Source organism: Homo sapiens, chromosome 3, assembly GCF_000001405.40.
Source record: "Homo sapiens chromosome 3, GRCh38.p14 Primary Assembly".
Lineage (NCBI taxonomy): Eukaryota > Metazoa > Chordata > Mammalia > Primates > Hominidae > Homo > Homo sapiens.
Window position 1 is genome coordinate 19,401,207 of NC_000003.12, and position 23,681 is coordinate 19,424,887.

The 23,681-nt window shown below is 33.6% G+C and overlaps 1 protein-coding gene and 1 long non-coding RNA gene across 7 annotated transcripts in view; one reads left to right on the forward strand and one right to left on the reverse strand.

Moving 5' to 3' along the window:
- Window positions 1-23,681, forward strand: part of KCNH8 (potassium voltage-gated channel subfamily H member 8) — a 387,133-nt gene that overhangs the window by 252,697 nt on the left and 110,755 nt on the right. The gene's annotated exons all lie outside the window — the stretch shown is intronic.
- Window positions 1-23,681, reverse strand: part of LOC105376982 (uncharacterized) — a 97,844-nt gene that overhangs the window by 12,084 nt on the left and 62,079 nt on the right. The gene's annotated exons all lie outside the window — the stretch shown is intronic.

The window sequence follows — 23,681 nt, forward strand, 5'->3', positions numbered from 1 at the left end:
TGGTGTCACTGGTCCTGCACACCGGACTGTGGGTGGCAAGGTTTTTAAAATGTCTTGAGACTTTTGAGGAAGTTAATACTCCCAGTTGTAAACAACACTAACCAGTAACAATTCAGTCCTTTCTATCCTTTTCCACCGTCCTATACTTTTTCAATCCCCAACACATCTGCAAATTTATTTGGACATAGTTTATTTCTGATGGACAAAGGAGGTCTATCTAAAAGCAGTTAACCTCAATACTGAAGTAGTACAACACAGTACTTAAAATGTCATCACAAACAATTTATATTACTGTTAGTTCCAGAAGACGCAAATCAAATACCATCCATTTTAAAAGTTTTGTCAATGCTCTATTCTATTTTCATAAGGGCTTCTAGAAAACAGAAAATATTTCCACGTTTTAGAAGTAAGATTTTACTCTTTTGTCGTAAGGAGCAAATGGTATATTTTAAAGACTCAATTTTTTTATATTTTAAGTATAGCAATAAACTTTGCTTCTTATAAAAATAGAGGAAGTAAAGTATATATAGCAATGTCCAATTATGAAGTTGCATTATCTCTGCAGTCTGATCTCGTATTTAAAGATTATTGGGGCATTTAGATAGTAAGAAATACAAAAATTTGCATTTAATTGCATAATATTCTCAGTCCTTTGAAAGGGAATTTCTGGGTTTCAGGTAGCAGACAGGGAGTTAATATGATTTCAAGTTGCCACGGTTGCTTAAGAGGAGAAAATACTTATACCTAGAAAGGAATGAACCTACAATATACTCAGTATCTTTGCACCACAGTTTCCAAATGTGTTCACACTTCCTACCAAACACTCCAAGCAACAAAGATTCTGTTATCATGTAAGTTTGAGAAATGTAGCACACTGCATCCCTGTTCGTAAAGACTGAGAAGGTATATTAGCAGCATATAATAAGCTCAGAGAAATTCTGAAGAAATTGATTAAACTTTATTTAAAAGAAATGTTGCATAAATTTATTTTCTATCATAATCTTTTTCTTTTTTGTACATATTGTTAATACTCTATTAACATCCTATCCTATGAATTTGAAGTTTTAAAAACACACCTTAGGAAAAGTTACTAAAACCAATATCATAATAGGAAGAATAATCATGGTTTTAATCTTTTAAAAATATAGGACATCACATGTATCATCCTACAGTAAATCTACAAAAATAGAGAGCAAGATTATTCTCGCTACAAAATGGAGATAAAAATGCCTACTTAGAAAATCACTGGTGAGCGTAAATAAGAGTATATGTGAAAGCAGTTTGCAAATTGAAAAGTGCTATAGAATTATGATGTGTTATTTTTGGGTCATAGTTAACAGTATACACACATATACATACATGTGTATATGTATATTTATGCATGTATAAGAAAGAAAGACAGGAATGTGTATATGCTATACCACAAATTCCTGTCTTCGTGTTCTCCACGATACTGATCCTAGCATGGATGTAGAGAGGACATGCACAATACATGTATTTGAGTGAATGGATGCAGGAATAAGTGGGTGAACAACAAATAGGGATTCTGTACCTTATTACTAGGTCACCCTTTAGCTTAAACGAGAAAGACATTCTGAAATCAGTCTTCCTTCAGTGTTTGGAAGTTATGCTTGTTCCGTACTTCCTTATAGTATCTCATCATTTATACTGTACGATTATAGGCCACATTCTCGTTAGTCATTTGGTTAAAACTGATTTGCCTAAAATATAGACAATAAAGTTATAGGAAACCAAAAGTCAGGATTCTATTTCTATTCAATAGTCTATTCTTTTGGATATTTTGGCTACCCAAATACTGAAGTCCCTTAGTATTCAGATTACACTTGAGGAGAAACTGTTTTGGTTTTCTCTCAAAAGATCTTATAATACCTGACAATTATTAATATAAGTTTTATTAAGCATTTATAAATATCACAAATTAATCCACTTGGGGTTTGGTTTTCTGATTTATAAAACAGTATCCAAGTGTACCTTGCCCCTACATTGTCCTTGCTCTTTTTTGAAAATCTTTGACCTTTTATACGATAATTAACTTGCAATCTGTACTCTACATAGTCCTCACATCTACTGACAATCTCATACAAACAATTACTCACTTTCTTCTGTTCCCCCCCATGAAATACATATGTAAAGAATATATATATATATATATATATATATATATATATATATAAAATCCTTCTGTTTATGGTATTACTAAAGAACAATCTTTAACTATTACCCCCATCATGGAAGAACATATTGCAAACTCTAAATATTTATAATTTTATTGTGAAAAATAATTACTAGATTAATAAGTCTATGGGTACTGACTACCCATACAGGTATAAGGTATAAGGTATACCTTATACAGGTATAAGAATTAAATACTGACTAAGTCTGAGTCACTGATTTGAAATGTAAAGTGTGAAATTTCAATGTGCTTATAGAAAAGCGCAGGTTTTGAACCACTCACACTGATATATTTTTAACCAAAACAGACAAATTAGCTTTGATGATGAAAATAAAAATCATAACCACAGTGTCATCATATTCCTAAGGATAAAAAAGTGTTAAGCAGCTAATACTTTGTGACTGAGGTTAATTGTCATTCTGTAGTGATGATGCTAATCACTATGCAATTTTCATTATCTGGACTTTGTTAAAGCACCTAGTATATATTTTATTGAAACCTGTGTAGTATGTTTTACATTATGCCCCATATGACATTTTAATATGTAGATTTTAGAGGCCCTATTCCTCATCAGATGTCCTGAAATTTGTGTGAGGAGGCAGTGCATCAGTCAATTGTAAATGTATTTTCAATTTCTTACTATGTGATAGCATCAGTAAAGGAAATGATAAGCAATGATTTCAGTTTTATAGAACTTTAATTTCACCAAGTTACAAGAGAAAACTAATCATTTCACCTGCTCTTCACTCTCTATCCTGTTGCTTTTTCTGTATTTCCTGTCTCAGTAAATGGCTCAAGCATGCTTCCATCTTCTAGCTGGAGATAAATTTAGATTGGCACTGCTTACAGCTCTTGTTGGATACAGAATCCCTCCAAAGAGCTGTTGCTTTCTAGTCTCATCTTCCTAGTCTCATTTTGGTTTCTCAGCTTTCAAGGAATACTCTTGGCTCTTAAACATCTTAGGCTGTGCCTTGGACCTAGATTTTAGAAGAGTGGGTCTTTTTTGAGTATTTTCTCCAAGGAGTCTTTGTTTTAAGGTGATAGTTTGCTGACCATTCATTGGTTCCACTGCTTCTCTGAAAGGATCTATGACTTCAATCACTGTTTTTCTATTCTACTGGATTTTCCTGAGTTGTGTAGTTGTTAAGATCATGGACAAGTAATATGCTTCTGGCTCTGGGAGTGTCATGGACTTCTATATTTAAATGAGTTCAGTGTTGAAGACATGTCTCACACAAGAACTACTGATCTTAGGGTGGCCTAAAAGGTAATATGAACATTCAAAGAATAAAATGAAAAGAGATTTATTTTTGATAATGGGAGCAATGTGATCTACTGACTTGAGGTTTGGATCTATCCTAATTAATTAATTAATTTTCTAAACACCTACTCAGTTTCCTAGTATCATTTATCAAATAATCGATTTATTTCCACTAATTAAATATAGCATTTTAATCATGCTTAATTATGCATACTTATGGCTCTTACTAGGCTTCATTTTTCTTCTGTTGACAGTATAATTTTACAAAAATATTACATAGTTTTGATTATTGTACTTTAAAATTTGGGGTATAGCAGGTAGAATAGAGGACATTTTAGCTCATTTACTTATTTAGATAAATATTAGGAAAAACATCCCTGCCCCAAAAAATCTAACTGGCATTTTAATTGGAGTTAATTTTAGAAATTAAATTAGGGAAAGGAATGCTTTGAGAACATTGAGACTTTTTGTCCAGTTCATGGCATTTAATCTCCATTTATTTAAAATATTATTCTGTATAATTAAGTGAAATTGTGTAATTTTCTTTACACAGGTTGCACGTATTTCTTAAGTATATTTTTAAGTATTATGCATTTTTGTGCTTCTGTGAATGGGATCTATTTTTCATTGATTTTTGTTTCAGTCACTACTGTATAAGAAAATCTAGTGACTTTAAATTATTTTATAGAAATATCAAATAATATGTATCTAATAATGTTTGATAAGTTTTATATTTTCTGAGTTTTTTAGAAAGACAATCATATAATATATACATACTAATAAATTTCTCCCTGACTTCTAATATCCATAGTCTTTTTAGCTACTAGCTTGAGAAAATGATGTATTTTATTAAATATGTGCTGTAACTTCACTAACAGATTTTGCTGAAAAGATGTTTTATAAATCACTGACAGGCATTATCATCGACGCTTGATATACATTGATGCTTGATAAAGTTCTGTGATATACCACAGAACTTTATATTGTGGTTCTCAAAAGTGTATTTCATAAAAGAACATGACATAATAGAACAATTCTTAACCTGGAGGTTGGGAATACTTTATCCTAATCAAGCCCTGCCATTAATTAGCCGTTTGACCTAGGACATTTTATCAAACCATATTTGTCTCAATTATTTCTCTCAAAATGAGATAATTGACTGATTCTTACTGAGTTTCAATCCTTCTTGCATCATAAACCCTTTGGGAAAATGAATGGAAGCTGTAGATATCCAATGATAAATTAATATGTCATATATAAATGATATTTGCATTAAAGTATAGTTTTATGTTTCATTAGATTATTTCATAGGATCCTGGTAAACAAAACACACAAAAACATCTGAGAGCTAGTTGATCTCTAAAATTTTTAACTTAAGGAATATTTGGTTACATTACCTTTAAGAAATGTGTCTTGCATATGAATTTTAGGTCTGTTGAACAACTAATGCCTTGGTCTGTTGACATATCTTTAGTGGTAAATGAAAACTACATAACAGCTGCCATAACTCACTAGTAAAACATTTTAGTCTTTATATTCTTTCAGGTTTTATACCATTAAAGTATAATTGTATTCTGTATAGTAATATGCTTCTGTGAAATCCCTCTCATTTAATCCATTTCTTCCTAAAGTTCTTAACCTTCGGAGACTTTTAGCTATAGCCATGAACTTTCAATTTTGCTATTGAAACAAGCTTAATAAAAATTTTCACTTTACATGCAACTTTTCAGAAATGTAGTAGTTTCTTAAATTGAGAGAAACCAACCACTCTCCAGGTTGGATATAAAAATAACCTGTTTTAAAATGTTCAAAATTTCATTTCTGGTTTAATTTCTAAAGGACAGTAAGAAGCAAGGGAGATTCCTAGTATTTTAAGACTTCTGTCATTTGGGCAATGTTCTAATTAGCCCAGATGTTGTGAGATTCTTCACAACATAGTCTTTAATTGCTGTATTTTTTTCAACCCCCATGCTCAATAACCTTATGCAACTGAGTTGGCTCCAGGTGAGTTACTCTTTTATTTAAGCCACTGTAGCCCATAGATGCACAGGATGTTAGCATAAGAAAGGACTTTAGAGATAATATATTCTAAATCCCTAATTTTACTTGATTGTTTCCTTTGATAAGGCCTCATAATGTAGTGGGGAGAACATAGATTGAGTGTTATAAAATTAAGAGTCTATCCTGGCCCTACACCTCAGATTTCTTCTCTGTAAAATGAGCTAGTCAGATCAAATGATCTCCAAAATCTTTAAAACATCAACTTCTCTTATTTGTATGAGAAGAAGAGGGGAACAACAGCTCTTTTAGTAGAATTATTCTACTCCAGAATATTTCTGAAGATCGAAATATATTTTTCTACTTCCAAACATCCATGAAATAAATGGCTTTTATGACTTCTGACCCTTGTTCCAAAGAAGGAGTAAGTCTGACCTGATATATGTCTTTTTAAAAATTACTTTGTAGTCTATATGCTTCTATTCTGAAGCCCAAACATAGTATTTTTTAATTTACAGCATTGGAAATTAAAGATAATATTTACAACAAGTAATAGAAAATAAGGTGTGATATTAATGGAAATATAATCTAAGTGTAGTTTTTTTCTTAAGTTCATATCTTCCCTATCTTTCTATGCCTGTTTCTGCTAAATTTACAAATGTTGTATTCAGACAAGAATTTATCTGCTAGAGGGATTTGGAGCCCCCAATTGCCTGGTTCAGCAACCTGAGCTGCCCCACCCTGCCTAGACATAGATTGTAGTACAGAGGGAATCCCTCTGCTCCACACCTACGCAGATCTCCAGTAAGTTGGAACATCTGTTCACTTGGGTCAGCAGCCTGAGTTGCCCCACCCCTCCTGTGAAGAGATCTTGAGGTGATCCTTTCTTCTCCATGGTCAGGCAGATATCCAGGTATTTGGAGTGCCCACTTGTCTGATTCAACAGCCCGACCTGCCCCACCATTCCTAGACATAGATAGTGGTGCAGTGAGACCCTCTCTGCTTCATGTCCAGGCAGATCCTGAGGCATTCAGAGCACCTGTTTCCCTGGTTCAGCAGCCTGAGTCATACCACCCCTCCATGCAGAAATCTTGGTGCAGGGGTGCTGTCTCTGCCCCATGCCTAGGAAGATCTCCAGGTATCTAGAGCACCCACTCTCCTAGATTGAGCTTCAGCTGCCCCTATTACCATGCAGAGATCTTGAAGCCAAGGTTTCTCAGCTCCACATGTAGGCACACTTCTGGGTACATGGTGACCACCCACTGGATTCTCCTTTGGCACTGGTGCTTGTGCCTGCCATCAGGGAACCTGCTGGCAGACTTGCTTGGTCCAGCCCTACCCTTCATGGCTCCCACCCCTTGGAGAGTGAGCAGAGAGTTCAGACCACTGTGCATTCCATGAGTCAGTGCATTGGTTGAGGCAACAGGGAGCTTCTGCCAGTAAACAAGGATCAAGTATATACCCAGCCCCATTGGTCACAACCAAATCTTACCTATAAGTGTCATCTATGGGCTTGTAGGACAAACTGCACAGCCCAATTTAAAACCTGCTAAAAGAAGTACGTAGACATAGAATTTATACAAGCAAAGCCAAAAGACCCTCCTCATCATTCTCTATAGCCACAGCCCCTAGGGTGGAAGGGGAAGGTAAAGGGAAAGAAAATAATAATAATAACATTATAGGGAAAGAAAGAAAAAGAAAAAATCCTACCTGCATGAACATAATTATAAGAATTAGAAGTGCCAGCATCTCCAGATGAGAAGGAACCAAAACAAGAATGCTGGCATCATGAAAAATCTGAATGTAGTGACACCACCAAAGGACTGCACTAGCTCCCCTGCAATGGTCACTATCCAAAATAGAAACTCAGAAATAACAGATAAAGAATCCAAAGTATGGATTGCAAGGAAGTTCACTGAGAGACCCAAGAAAGGGTGGAAAATCAACACAAAAAAAATTCTAAAGCAATCCAGTAAATGAAGGAAGAGATAAATGCCCTAAAAAGAAAATCAGTCAGAACTTCTGGAATTGAAAAACTCACTTAAGGAACCTCAAAATACAGTTGAAGATCTTATCAATAGACTGGATGAAGTAGAAGAAAGAAGCTCAGAGCCAGAAAGCCAGTCTTTTCAACTAACCCAGTCTGACAAAAATGAAGAAAAAAAGAATTTTAAAAAATGATCAAAATCTTTGAGAAATATGAGCTTATGTAAACTGATCAAACCTACAAATTACTGGCATTCCTTGGAGAGAAGGAGGAAAAGCGAATAACCTGGAAAATATATTTGAGGTAATCATTCAAGAAAATGTCCCTAATCTTACTAGAGAGGTAGAAATTCAGATATAAGAAATTCAGAGAACACCTGTGAAACACTGTACAAAACAAATATCACCAAGACATATAACCACTAGACTATCCAAGGTCAGCACTATAGAAAAAAACTTAAAGGCAGCTAGAGGAAAAGGAAAAATTACATACAAAGGGAACCCCATCAAGCTAACAGCAGACTTGTCAGAAAAAGGCTTACAAGCCAAGAGAGATTGGGAGCCTATCTTTAACAGTTAAAGAAAAGAAATTCCAATCAAGAGTTTTATATCCTGCCAAGCTGAACTCATAAATGAAGGAGAAATAAAATATTTTACAGACAAGCAAGCACTAAGGGAATTTGTTACCACTACACCTGCCTTACAAGAGATTCTTAAGGGAGTTCTACACATGGAAACAAAAGAATGATAACTGCCGCTACAAAAACACACTGAAGTATACAGCTCACAGACCCCATAAAGCAAAAATACAATAGAAATTACACAGCGAACAGCTAACAACTTCATGATAAGATCAAAACCTCTCATATCAATATTAACCTGGAAGGTAAATGGTCTAAATGATCCACTTAAAAGTCACAGAGTAGTAAGTTAGATAAGAAAACAAGACCCATTCATCTGCTCTCTTTTAGGGATCTGTTTCACACGTACTGACACCCATAGGCTTACAGGGTTGGAGAAAGATATACCATGCAAACAGAAAACAAAAAACAAAGAGTCGGAGTTACTATTCTCATATCAGATGAAACAGACTTTAAAGCAACAACAGTAAAAAATGACAAGAAGCACATTACAACATTACATAATGATAAATTGTTCAAGCAACAAGAAGACTTGACTATCATAAGTATGTACACACCAAACACAGGAGCACCCAAATTCATAAAATGAGAACTTCTAGAACTACAAAAAGACTTAGACAGCCACACAATAATAGTGGGGGTATTCAAGACCCCACGAACAGCATTAGACAGTTCATCACGGCAGAAAACCAACCAAGAAATTCTGGACTTAAACTCAGCACTTGACCGACTGGACCTAATAAACATCTATAGAATACTCCACCCATCAACTATAGAATATATGCTCTTCTCATCTGGACATCTGGACATGGAACATACTCCAAGAAATCATGTGCTCAATAAATTAAAAAATACTTGAATAAGTCTCAATAAATTTTTTTAAAAAACTAAAAATCATACAAACTATAGTCTCAGACCACAGTGGAATACAATAGAAATCAATACAAGGAGGCCTCTCAAAAACCACACAATTATAGGGAAATTAAACAACTTGCTCCTGAATGACTTTTGGGTGAACAAAGAATCAAGGCAGAAATTTCAAAATTATTTGAAATAAATGAAAACAGAAACATAACATACCAAAATATCTGGGATGTAGCCAAAGCAGTGTTAAGAGGAAAGTTCATAGCACTAAACGCCTACCTCAAAAAGTTAAAAATATCTCATTTTAACAATCTAACCTAACATCTAGAGGAACTAGAGAAACAAGAGCAAAGTAACCTTAAAGCTAGCAGGAGAAAATAAATAACAAAAATCGGAGTGGAACTGAATAAAATTAAAACCTAATAATCCATTTAAAAAATCAACCAAACCAAAATTTAGTTTCTTAAGAAATAAACAAGGTCAATAGACCACAAGATTATCAAAGAAAAAAAGAGAGAAAATCCAAATAAGTACAATAAGAAACAGCAAACAAAAGATTCTCAGAGAGTGTTATGAACACCTCTGTGGACACAAACTAAAAATCTAGAGGAAATGAATAAATTCTTGGAAAGATAAAATTTCCTAAGATTGAATCAGGAAGAAAATGAACACTGAACGCACCAATATTGAGTTCCAAAATTGAATCAGTAATAAAAAGCCTACCAAGCAAAAAAAAAAAAAAAAGCCCTGGACCAGATGAGTTTACCACTGAATAATACCAGAAGTACAGAGAAAGCCAGGTACCAATTCCACTAGAACTAATTTCAAAAAATTGAGGCGAAGGGATTCTCCCTCACTCATTCTATGAATCTAGCACACCCTAATACCAAAACCTGGTAACAATATAATGAAAAAAATCAAACTACAGGCCAATATCCCTGATGAACATAGAAACAACAATTCTCAACAAAATATAGCAAACCAAACGCAACAGCACATCAAAAAGTTAATTCACCATGATCAAGTAGGCTTCATTCCTGGGATGCAAGGTTCGTTCCGCATGCACAAAACAATAAATGTGGTTTACAGCATAGACAGAATTAAAAGCAGAAACCATATGATCATCTCAATAGACACAGAAAAAGATTTTGATAAAGTCAAACATCCTTTTGTTACAAAAACTCTGAAGAAACTAGGCATCAAAAGAACACATCTTGAAACAGTAAGAGCCATCTATGACATACCCCCAGCCAATATCATACTTAACAGGCATAAACTGAAAACTTTCCCCTTGAGAATTAGAAAAAGACAAGGATAGCTATTCTCCCACCTTCTATTCAGCATAGCACTGGAAGTCCTAGAGAGCAATCAGTCGAGAGAAAGAAATAAGAGTCATCCAAACAGGAAAAGAAGAAGTCAAACTCTCTTTTGGGGAGATATGATTCTACACCTTGAAAACCCTAAAGACTCTGCCAAAAGACTCCTGAAACTGATAAACAACTTCAGCAAATTTCAGGATAGAAAATCAATGTACAAAAATCAGTAGTGTGCCTACACACCAGTAATATTCAAGCTGAAAGCCAAATCAAGAACACAATCCCATTAACCGTAGCCACACACACACAGACACACACACACACACACACAGACTACGAATACATCAAACCAAGGAGATGAAAGATATCTGCAAGGAGAATTACAAAACACTATGAAATGAAACCATAGATGACACACACAAATGGAAAGACATTCTATGCTCATGGATTAGAAGAATCAATACCATTAAAATGTTCATACTGCCCAACACAATCTACAGACTCAGCACTATTTATATTAAACTACCAACATCTTCTTTAAGAATTATTTAAAAAAAATAGAATTAGAAAAAAAATTCTAAAATGTATATGGAACCAAAAAAGAGTACAAACAGCTGAAACAATCTTAAGCAAAAAGAACAAAGCTGAAGGCATCACATTACCTGACTTCAAAGCATACTATAAGGCTACCATAGCCAAAACATCATGATACTGATATAAAAACAGACACATAAACCAATGGGAAAGAGTAGAGAACCCAGAAATAAAGCCATACACCTACAGCCATCTAATCTTTGATGAAGTCAGCAGAAATAAGCAATGGGGGAAAAGACTCCCTATTCAGTAAAATGGTGCTGGGATGCCTAGATAGCCATATGCAGAAGAATGAAACTGGACCTACTACTTTTCACCATATACAAAAACTCAAGGTGGATTAAAGAGTTAAATGTAAGACCTCAAACTATAATAATTCTAGAAGAAAACCTAGAACACACCATTCTGGACATGGGCCTTGGGAAAGAATTTATAACTAAATAGTCAAAAGCAATCACAACAAAAACAAAAATTGACAAGTGGGACCCTATAAAGGGCTTCTGCACAGCAAAAGAAACTACCAACAGAATAAAAAGACAACCTACCGAATGGGAGAAAATATTGGCAAACTATGCATCCAACAAAGTCTAATGTCGAAGATATGTAAGAAAGTTAAACAATTCAACAAGCAAAAGACAATTTAAAAAAAATGAGCAAAAGACATGAATAGGCACTTGTGAAGAGAAGACATACACATGGCCAACAAACATAAAAAATGCTCAATATCACTAATCATAAGAGAAATGCAAGTTAAAACCGTGAGATGTCATCTCACACCAGTCAGAATGGCTATTATTATAATATAAAAAATAATAGGTGTTGGTGAGGCTGTGGAGAAAAAGGAACACGTTGGTGGCAATGTAAACTAGCTTAGCCACTGTGGAAAGCAGTTTGGAAATTTCTCAAAGAATTTAAAACAGAACTACCATTTGACCCAGCAATCTCATTACTGGATATATATCCAAAAGAAAACAAATCATTTCTATCCGAAATACATATGCACTCGCATGTTCATTGCAGCACTATTCAAATGCAATAGCAAAGACATAGATTCAATATGGGTGCCTATCAGCGGTGGATTGGATAAAGAAAATGTAGTAAATAAGCACCATGGAATATCACATAGCCAAAAAGAAAAAAAAAAAAAAGAATGAAATCATGCCCCTTGTAGCAACATGGATGGAGCTGCAGGCCATTATTCTAATTAAATTAGTGCAGGGACAGAAAACCAAATACTACATGTTCTCATAAGTAGGAGCTAGACATCAGGTGCTCATGGACATAAATATGGAAACAGCAGCAACTGGGGACTACTAGAGAAGGGAGGGAAGGAGGGAGAAGGGCAAGAGTTGAAAAACTAACTGTTGGGTACTATGCTCACTACGTGGGTGATGGGATTATTCATACCTCAAACCTCGGAGTCATGGGTAACATTTTTTAACCCATGTAACAAACCTGTACATGTACCTCCTGAATCTAAAATAAAAGTTGAAAAAGAAAACAAGAGATTAGAACAGAGACAATATACATGGCTAGAAGACCTTGTGAAGACACAACGAGAAAATAGCCATTGACAAGCCAAGGAGAGAGGCTTTAGAGGAAACCAATCCTGCTGACACTTTGATCTCGGACTTCCAGCCTCTAGCACTTGGGGGAAATAATTTGTTTTTTGAGCCAGTCAGTCTGTGGTATTTGTTACAGAAGCCCTAGAAAACTAATAAAATGCCCTCCTCTGTTTTAAAAACAAAAGAGTTCATCTGAAAAACAACTCTTGTTGCAGCCTTTCACATTTTCCCTTTAAAATTAATATGAAGGCCAGGATGAAGACATAATATGACATTTTAATCATCAGTAAAAGTTAAGTGTCAACCATTGATATGTTGTAAGAAAGCAGAGGAATTTTCACTAAAAGCCAAGTAAATAGGATTGGATTTTAAAAATATAAACAGCAGATAGCTTGAGTTTTTTAAGATACTTATTCTAATGGGAAATCCTTCACCCCATACTCACACTCTGCCCTCTGATTCAGAGAGCTGAGGTCTCCAAGAAAATGGGACAATCGTCCCTCTACAGCTTAGACATTGCTTTAAAACGTAACAGTCACTCTGCTAGGCCCAGTAGCTTTGTTGTTCGATTCAAAAGTAAAAGAAACATTAAAGTTTACAAAATTTCTCAACTAGAGTTTGGAGCAGGGAAAGGAGATACTCAAATGTTAAAGTGTCAATATTTACTGATAAGTAGGAAAATATAGTTATAATGGGATTTTGAAAAATTAAAAGTCACCACTAAATAAAATTTAAAATAGAAAACATACAAATCAAACAAATCATGAAACATATGGAAAAACATTGAAAAAAAGGAAATATCAAGAAAATACAAATGTAAGAAATAGTAGGTCATAAACACCATGATTTTAAAAAATGTTTAAAGCATAGGAAACAGCTCAGGTTATTTCATGTGAAGAACTCAGGAAACAGATTTTTACATATTACATGATTCTTATTTGGGATAAAAAAGGAAATACACACACAAAAGGATTGAAAATAAACCCAATGAGTAGTAAAATTATTTGGAAGTTTTTCTTTTTAATCATTACAAAATAATTGATTTATATCAAATTAATATTATGCTTACACTTATTGATCACAAACTATTGCATGGAAGAGTGCTTAATACATTCTTGTACATTTTTTCATCTGATCTTTATTGCAGTCCATGAGGCAGATAATTTCAAGCCCATTTTATAAGAAAGAAACTAAAACTTGAAAAGCTTGAGATTTCCTGGAGATGCTTTAAAATTAGCAAATATCTTAACTTGAAAAAGTTTATGATTAATATAATAGAAACCTGCCAGAAATTATTGTCTTAACATTTTGCCATAATTGCTTAATTTCTATTTTTAAATTTAATAAAATGTTACAGATAAAGCCCTTCAGTTCTCACTTGCTCCCTCTTTCTCTCCTCTACTATTATAAACTTGGTGCATAAGATTTTTAGATACTATTTTTACTACACAAATGTGTTAGTAAACCAATATTTGGCATTATTTTGTCTCATTAACTTCTATGTGAATAATCACAAATGAAAGAAATGATGGTAATAATAATAATAGCAGACATACATGAAGCTTCCTCAGTGCCAAGCAGTGTTCTAGGTACCTACATGGGTTAACTCATTTAATATTGTCACAATTCTATGAGCCCAATACTATTATTATTCCCATTTACAGGTAAGAAAACACACCATAGACTAAATAACTTGTCCTAAATCACAATCACACAGATAGTATACATGAGAGCTGGGATTTCTGTCTTCCTTTTGGGATTTTTACTTTCTCAATGAGCTTTTTTTTTTTTTTTTTTAAGATTTATCCATGGTAATAGATATAAATCTTACATATTTATTTATGTTTATTATTCTACAATCAGCTGTTGATTTATTCATTTGGGTTGATTTATCTGTCTCCTTACTGAGGCACAATTACTTGTTTTGTACTTATTAATAAAAGTAGAGAGCAATGAGCAATCAATTATGAGTTCCCTTGTATATATGCACGAATTCCTCCAGGTAAGATATGTACAAGTGTACTTGCTCAGTCCAAATGCTCGTGCATCTGCAAAGTTAACATATTAGGTTGGTGCAAAAGTAATTTTGCCATTTCTTTAATGCAATGTAAAAACAACAATTACTTTTGCACCAAACTAATATATTGCTAAATTCTTGTCTGAAGTAGTTGTGCCAATTTATTGTTTGGTAGTTTTATATATTCTTTCCCCAGATCTTCATTAGCAATTGTTACCAGTGTTTTTCAATTTGTAAAAATCTGGGTGGTATGAAATAGTGCTTAATTCTTATTTTAATTTCCATTTCCCTGAATAGGTAAGGTGGAATATTTTTTCATATATTTTTTGACCAGTACTGTTTCTCTTTGATGAATTAGACACTTAGCTCATTAACTTGCAGGTTATCTTCTTTCCTACGTAATCTATTTAAAGCTATATATTTTAAGTGTAAAAATTTTTAAATTATCATCTAAATTATGTGGGACTTTTGAAGTTGATTCTTATTACTGATTTCTAATTATGTGCATTGGTCACCACAGAATTTGGTTTACATGATACTGATTTTTCAGTATTTATTGAGGCTCAGTTTGTACATATTCTTTGTGTACTTGGACAGACTATGCATTAATTCTTAGTGTTTTATATATTTCCATTAGATCAAGCTTTTGAATTTAATTATACACATATTATAAGACCTTATTATTTTCTAATCAAATAAATAAAGAAATTTTATTTGGTGCTTTTTCAGATTTCGATTCACTTTCTACAGTGTTCAGTTTGTGTTTTATAGTTCAAATATTTTTATTAGGTCAAGCTTCTGAATTGAAGTTAAATATTTAAAACATACTACCTTCCTGTATTCCCCATTTTTGTTTCATTAGTTCAAATTCATTGTGTTCTAAGTTTCTGTTCTGCTAACCTTGTGAATGATAAATTATTCCCTCATGTGTTTTGTAATTTTTAAAAAATTCTTATTCTGAGCTCATCTTCAATAGCGCTCTTTCTGTAGAAATCCTGTGCACACTGAGCTGTGAAAATATACAGAATTTTGGTGGTGATTGTTTATGTCTTTGCTTCTCTCAATGACACCAATATTATCACCTGCCCTGGGATCAAATTTTTAAAAACTTCTTAGCATCAAAATTCCTGTGCCTCATAGATAGTGTGCTTGCAATGCACATGGCTGAATTTTTAAATTTGCTTAAAAGAGACTACTTTTTAAAGCTTAAGTTTCTTTGTTATTCCCATAAGCTGGTAGGTAAATTACTTCTGTCTTTCTCCCTGCATGTTTCACCCTTTCACTAACCCAGTTTTATAAAAGGTGTAGTTCCAGTGTTTGTAGGATTTAAGAGTTATAGCCTGTGCCTTGCAACCGCATGAAACTCAGGCCCACTGACATCATTACCACTGATTAGCTTCCCACCTCTTCCCCTGTCAGCACCACCACCATAGTGTCAGCTAACTAACTTCCTACTCTTTATTTTTAATATGGAAATTTCACTTCCAAATATTATATATATTTGGAAGATATATATATAATCTAATATATATTAAATTAGATATTTTGGAAGAATATATATATATTCATATATGTATATGTGTGTGTATATATATATATATTTCCAGTATTTATAGGTATTTATATCAGAAGGGCTTGCACATTAACTAAGTTTATGATCTTGCCAGAACCACAGTATTAATTTCTGCTGAAATAATAGAGCCTAAATTCCAGTGCGATTTTGTTATATATTTTGTTTGAAATATAATAATGGTAGTTATCTACCCATAAAAGGCCAACTGAATAAGGTTTAATTACTCTGGACCTTATTCTTGCTCGGAATAAGTAAGATTATTACAAGATTATTATACTTATAAGTAATCTTATAAGTAAGATTTCCCACATAAAGATTTCCCTTTATGTGGGAAAATCATTTAAATGTAAGACCTCAAATCTTCAATCCTTCAAACAGAATTTTTCGGTTACCAGGAATATAAATTATGCTTCTGAATTGAGAAGAGATCATAAAATATGCTTAATATACAATTATTTTTTTCTAACTGCTACTTTAATCATAGTAATTCCTTTGGAATGCATGACAAGTTAATATACTGCAGATTATGTGTCTAAGAGACTATAGATATGAAGAAAGACAAAACAGAAAAAGAACCAAGGCTCTGAGACTGTTGCAGTTAAATCCTATAAGGTTTTCAGTATTTACTATAAAATAAATCATTAATGATTACCTAAGAGAGACATACTGTTGTGAATAATACTAAGAACTGACAAATAAAGCCTGCCTCCTTTAAATGTATTCTCATTAGAAAATCAAGGTGGACACAAAAATATTGTAAAAAGTAAAATAAAATGTAAAAAGACAAAAATGTTAGTTTGATGTATGTTTGCACAAGTAGAAATTTCCTTAAAAGTTCAGAAAGACACAGAAATAACTCTGAATCTCTCTGAAGGTGGCATTTGAACTGGGCTTCAAAAGGTGAGTATTATTTGGGGGATTCATCAGAGAACATTTCAGGTGAGAGGCTCAGTGTGAATAAATGCATAAAAGAAGGAAATCTCACAGTGTATTTGAGGAATTGTGAGTGGATCAGTTGGCTTATAGCAGAAATTTAATGAATAGCTGAATTTGCAAGATAAATAAACCTAAAGGAGAAAGAGACATGGTGTACATGGATGAAGCAGGTCAGATATTAAACTAAAGGTTAATGAAATTAAGTTCTGAAAAAGGTGGAGAATGCAAGTCTCATCTGAAAGAACTAATCATGACCTAACTCCAGCACCAATATAGCTTAAGTTTGGCCACATCTGAGTTTTCTAGAGAATTTGAGAATCAGGATTTTTTGATAAATCTCTAATATTTAAACATTGGCAAATACTTCAGAACTTGAAAACATCGTATAAAGCCCAAACAAAATATCTGTGGATCTGATCAAGCCCATTAGTCACTAATTTGCCATCCTGGACACAAAGTAAGTGAAAAAAATGGATAATACCAAAATGATGGGTTGGCCTTTTAGCTGAGGTGTCTGAGTATGACCCCTAAGACATACCAAGACAGAGAACAAGAGAAGATGTAACTAGGTTTCTTGATTGATATAATAATTTAGAAAGTTTAATGCAAACTTGAGAGAAACACTGAAAGTGATTTTCTTCACAATCTTTGTCAAACAGTTTTCATCCAGCTGCACATTCTTATGAAAACAAATACCAATGCTGTTTTTAGGTAAAGGTCTCATGCTCTTTATACTTGCACTAATGAAAAGGTATTCTCTGTTATACTAATGGTGGGAATATTTCCATAACAGGGTTTTGGCATTTATAAAGAATTTCCACCGGAATACATTCCCCATATGAGATGTTAACAAACATGGACATAACTCATAGATACATGATAGGAAATGAAAGATAAACATTTTATCTAAACTAGTTACACATCTGGAATAAAATTTTAATACCTCTTCTCTCCTTTCTCATCATGCATGTGTATGTGGCTGTTTGCTTTGTATTTAGGATTTTTCCATCTAGTCACAAAAAGAAGTAATTAAAATGGTTTTGGTTTTTTTTTTTTTTTTTTTTTTGAGACGGAGTCTCGCTCTGTCGCCCAGGCTGGAGTGCAGTGGCGCGATCTCGGCTCACTGCAAGCTCTGCCTCCCGGGTTCACGCCATTCTCCTGCCTCAGCCTCCCGAGTAGCTGGGACTACAGGCGCCCGCCACCACGCCCGGCTAATTTTTTTGTATTTTTAGTAGAGACGGGGTTTCACCGTGTTAGCCAGGATGGTCTCGATCTCCTGACCTCGTGATCCGCCCGCCTCGGCCTCCCAAAGTGCTGGGATTACAGGCGTGAGCCACCGCGCCCGGCCAATTAAAATGTTTTATGTGGCCTTCAGCCCTAAAGAAGTTACTGCCAAAATGTCTATGCTGACATGGCCTTTACTTGAATGTGAGAGTCTTTGGATTTTTTGTTATTTTTTCATTGAGATTAGTCAGGAAAGATAGAAACAAAACCCAATTTTAATTTCTCAGAAACTCAGAGCCCAGAAACTTATTCAAGATAGAAAATATTTACGAAGGCCCCCATTTTAAAAAATGGTGGATTCACATCCTACTATATTTATCCATACTCCTATCCTTTACACCAAACTCAAGCAGAAATGGGATACCAGAAGGTTCAGTCAATTGAAGTACTAAAGGCAAAAATAAAAATTAACTCCTATTTAGCTTTCTGTAGCTTTCAACATCTCTAAATTCATTTTCTATTATAATGATACTTAAAATTTGCCTTTGGCTTGACAGCTCTCAATGAACCTGTGTTTAGTCTCATAGGATAAAATGTCATATGACAATTTTTAAGAATGTGTGTTCTAAGTTCAGACTTCAAAGCCTAGACCCTGTACTTACTATCATTGAAAATTTATGAGATACTTAAATTTTACAGGCTGTCTAAAGTACCGCCTGTAAAATAGCAACAGCATTAGCTACATTACATGGTTGTTATGAGGATTAAGTGATGTAGAGTGATTAAATGCTCAATATATGTTCATTGCTACGGCTGCCACTGCTGCTGTGGTTGTTTTAACTATCATTGCTATTCTTAACATGATGACATTTTATTTAAATGACTATGGTAGCTTATTTTGTTCCCGATAAACTTTATGTAACTTTTTTGCTATATTGAAGCCAGTGACTGAACTGCTTGCAGTCTCTACCAAAAACCTGCTGCTGATGGTCAGGGATTAAAGGCTTATTTTTAGCAATCTTTCTAGCCTGAAATGGAATTCTGTCAAGGTTGGCTTTTTTGACTGTGACGCACAGAGGGAGGGCGGTATTTCTAATTTTATCATCTGCCCATAAAATCATGTTTTAGTGCTAGCTAATTTCATTAATTTTTAAAATATGCTGGCTTAGGTTTACAGGTTGAAAAGCTATTTTGTGACTGAAATGGTATATTTTGGAATATGTCGTGACTCTGTGACCCACTCAGGAGTAATCCATAAAAATGATTTCAAAGAGTTGATTAGTGTCTGATTTACAAGTGACAGCACATGATTATAGCACATTCTAGTCTCCAATGCAGTGCTTTATATGTTTCATACAAAAATGGGCATAGTAATACAAATATATCCTCCAAAATCCAAAAAATAATACCATGATACATCAGGATTCAGAGAGTTAGAGATACTTAAATGAAAATCTGGTATTATTTTATTGGCAACTGAGGATATGTGACTGTGATTTCTCCATCAACAACATGCTTAGTGAATGGTATAAGCAAGCCATCTTATGGTAGTCATTCTTTACAAATATGACTATGTTGACTGTGTGTGTGTGTGTACACATGCATACGTGTGTTAAGAGAGAAGGAGGGAGAAAAGAAAGAAGAAAGAACTGCAATTCATTGTCACTGCCAAGTTATAGAATTGGTAGAATTTGACACTTTTTAAAAAATTGGTGAAACAACTACTTTTTAAAAAATTGGTGAAACAACTACTTTTTATTCTTTAGAAAGGACATATTACATCTTTGGGTAACAAGATAAATAGGAATATTTTAATAAAATGCTCTATTTCATGTAAGTCAGTAATTACTTTCAGAGGTATAAACTGGATAATTTAAAAAAATCTTTGTTTGACCAAATACTCAGTATGTTTTACAAAGTATAAGATATTTTGATCTACCATTTTGAACCTCCCATTTTAAGATGTTTTTGTCTTCACTGTCTTGATCCCTAAGGACATTTCTATTGTGTGTTTCTTAATACAGTCATTCTCATTAGAATGATAGCAACCTGTATGACTGTTAGGTAAAGGGTACTTTCTACAATTTCATTAAACTAATTTAATTTTTTAATCAAATTCTTATACAACAGAGTTAAACAATTCCTTTACATTTCCTTTTTGATTTTATTGAAATTATTTTTTATTAAGTTCTTTTGGTATAAACTTTACTACCAAAGATTTAATTCACTAATCAGTTTTTAAAAGTTCATATCAGATACACTGAGCTTTTTTTTAGTAACATTTCTACAATGCCCAATTTTTGTCAATTTAAGTTTTAGTGAGCTCATTTCCATCAAGAAAATGTTATTCTTTCATCAATTTTGAGTCAGTTACAAATTTTAATCTGTGCATTTTTAGCCATTGTTAATTTTATTTTTTATTATTTCTACTAAGTCTAATTTTTTAAAAATCAATGTTTGCTGTCTTTAATGTTCCTAAAGAATGTATAATCTCAATCAGGTCTTTTTGTTTTGTTTTGTTTGGAGGACTAATCAATTTTACCATGCTCTGTTTTAAACATATTCAACTGTATTTGCCTCTTTGCTGCCACTTGTGTTTACTAATTGGATATAATAATTAAAATATGTGTTTATTTGGTCAAGATGCAAAGAACATGAGATAGTACAAATGATGGTAACTAGGTGGAGATGGAGGTCAAATGGCATTGCAATCAAAACGGTTGGGTCAAAATATCCTCCTTCAGATATTAGACACCTCAGTGGAACAAATAAGAAAGTATATGGTTTTGCTATATGATACTGATGTCTTGCAAATAGTCATTATATCTTAGTTTCTATCTACATGTACAGATCATGGTATTTTAACATTTGAATTTCCCAACTGGCACATGTTTATTTGTAGATAAATACATATTTTATAATGAAAATTGTCAACTAATCTTCCAAATCAGAAAGCTAATTTATATTTAAATAATACAGTTTTTTGTGACAAAGTAATAGAAGACTGCAGAAAAGGTGAAAAAAGAACTGTCATTTTAAGCAGGAACAATACACCAGGCACTGTGCCAGATGTTTTACAAAATTATTTTCTTAAATGCCCTCAGCAAACAAGAAGGGATTTTTAGTTCCATATTTTAGCTGAAAAAGCTGAAACTTAGAGAGTTAGCTTACCTACAGATAAATTATTAAGTAGTGGTGGGGGCTGCAGTTCAAACCATTCTGCAAACCCAAATCCTGTTTTATATGCAAAGCATGGGTAGCTATTCTGTGGTATTTACAATTTAGAAAGACATTTTTTATCATTTAACAAATATTAATTGAGTGCATATTAGGTGCCTCATCCTGAGCTAGGCTTGGGAATCAAGTATATAAGAAAGACCATAATCCCTATGTTCACAAAGCAGTCGGCCTAGTATTACCTATAGGCAGATAACCAGAAATTAAAGTGTGTTGAGACCTCCAGTGGGGTGGGAAGTCTAAGGAAGATAGGGCCAAGAGATTGATCAGTTTAAGTAATTGAAATGAAAAACGGATAACCTAGTTTACTGAAAAGTGAAAGGGGATAAAAATACTCTAAATGAAATCACTGCAGGTGAAAGAATTTTGCAATATTCTGAAAGATCCTTAACAATATTTATAATTGTTACATCATAGTGATGATGATCCACAATGATTAGAAATTATTATCTCAACACCAGCATAAGGATTGAATGCCAGCAACCTGAAATCTTGAGTATAATCTTTTCTAAAGACTGAAAAGCTTCTCTCATGATTGTACATTTGTTGGGTCAGACTGCATGACCCTAAGATAAATCCTAAAATAAATTCCAAGAGGTTTCTACTGCAGTTTCTCAAAGCCTCGGTATCTTTTGCCTTATTATTTCTCTTAAAATTATTTCTTTTTATTTATATTTTTATTGTATTTCAATAGTTTCTGGGGGAAAGTTGAATTTTGGTTGCATGAATAAGTTCTTTAGTAGTGATTTCTGAGATTTGGGGGCATCTGTCACCAAGAAGTGTACAGCATACCTATTGTGTAGTCTTTTATCCCTCACCCTCCTTCCACCCTTCCCCCTGAGTCCATTATATCATTCTTATGCCTTTGCATCCTCATAGCTCAGCTCTCACTTATAAGTGAGAACATACAGTATTTCATTTTCCATTCCTGAGTTACTTCATTTAGAGTAGTGGTCTCCAATTCCATCCAGGTTGCTGCAAATGCCATTATTTCATTGCTTTGTGTGGTTAAGTAATATTCCATTGTGTGTGTGTGTGTGTGTGTCACATTTTCTGTATCCACGCATTGGTTAATGGGCATTTAGGCTGGTTTCATATTTTTCAATTGCGAATTGTGCTGCTGTAAACATTTGTGTGCAAGTGTCTTTTTCGTATAATGACTTCTTTTCCTCTGAGTAGATACGCAGTAGTGGGATTCCTGGATCAAATGGTAGTTCTACTTTTAGTTCTTTAAGGAATCTCCATACTGTTTTCCATAGTGGTTTTACTAGTTTACATTCCCACCAGCAGTGTAAAAGTAGTCCCTTTTCATGACATTTGTGCCAGCATCTATTAATTTTTGATTTTTTAATTATGGCCATTTTTGCAGGAGTAAGGTGGTATCTCATTATAAAATCAATATTAGGAAAATGACCATATTGCCAAAGGCAGTCTACAGATTCAGTGCAGTTCCCATCAACATACCATCATTATTCTTCAAAGAACTAGAAAAAACAATTCTAAAATTCATATGGAACCAAAAAGTTTCCATAGCCAACACAAGACTGAGCAAAAAGAACAAATCTGAAGGTATCACATTACCTGATATACTACAAGGCTATACAACAGGCTATAGATACCAAAACAGCATGGTACTGGTATAAAAATAGGCACACAGACCATGGAACAGAATTGAGATCCCAGAAATAAACCCAAATACTTACAACCAACTGATCTTCAACAAAGCAAACAAAAATACAAAGTGGGGAAAGAACAACCTATTCAACAAATGGTGCTGGGATAATTGGCAAGCCACATGTGGAAGAAGGAAACTGGATCCTCATCTCTCACCTTATACAAAAATCAACTCAAGATGGATCAAAGACTTAAATCTAAGACCTGAAACCATAAAAATTCTATAATATAACATCAGAAAAACTCGTCTAGACATTGGCTTAGGCAAAGAGTTCATGACCAAGAACTCAAAAGCAAACACAACAAAACAAAAAATAAATAGATTAGACCTCATTAAACTAAAAAGGAGGAAATGATCAGAAGAGTAAACCGATGACCCACAGAGTGAGAGAAAACATTCTCTAACTATGCATCTGACAAAGGACTAATATTCAGAATCTACAAGGAACTCAGGCAAATCAGCAAGAAAAAATAATCCTATAAAAAAGTGGGCAAAGGACATGAATAGACCGTTCTCAAAAGAAGATATACAAATGGCCAACAAACATATAAAAAAGTCTCTTAAAATTATTTCTAAAATTTTAAATGTGCATTAATTTTT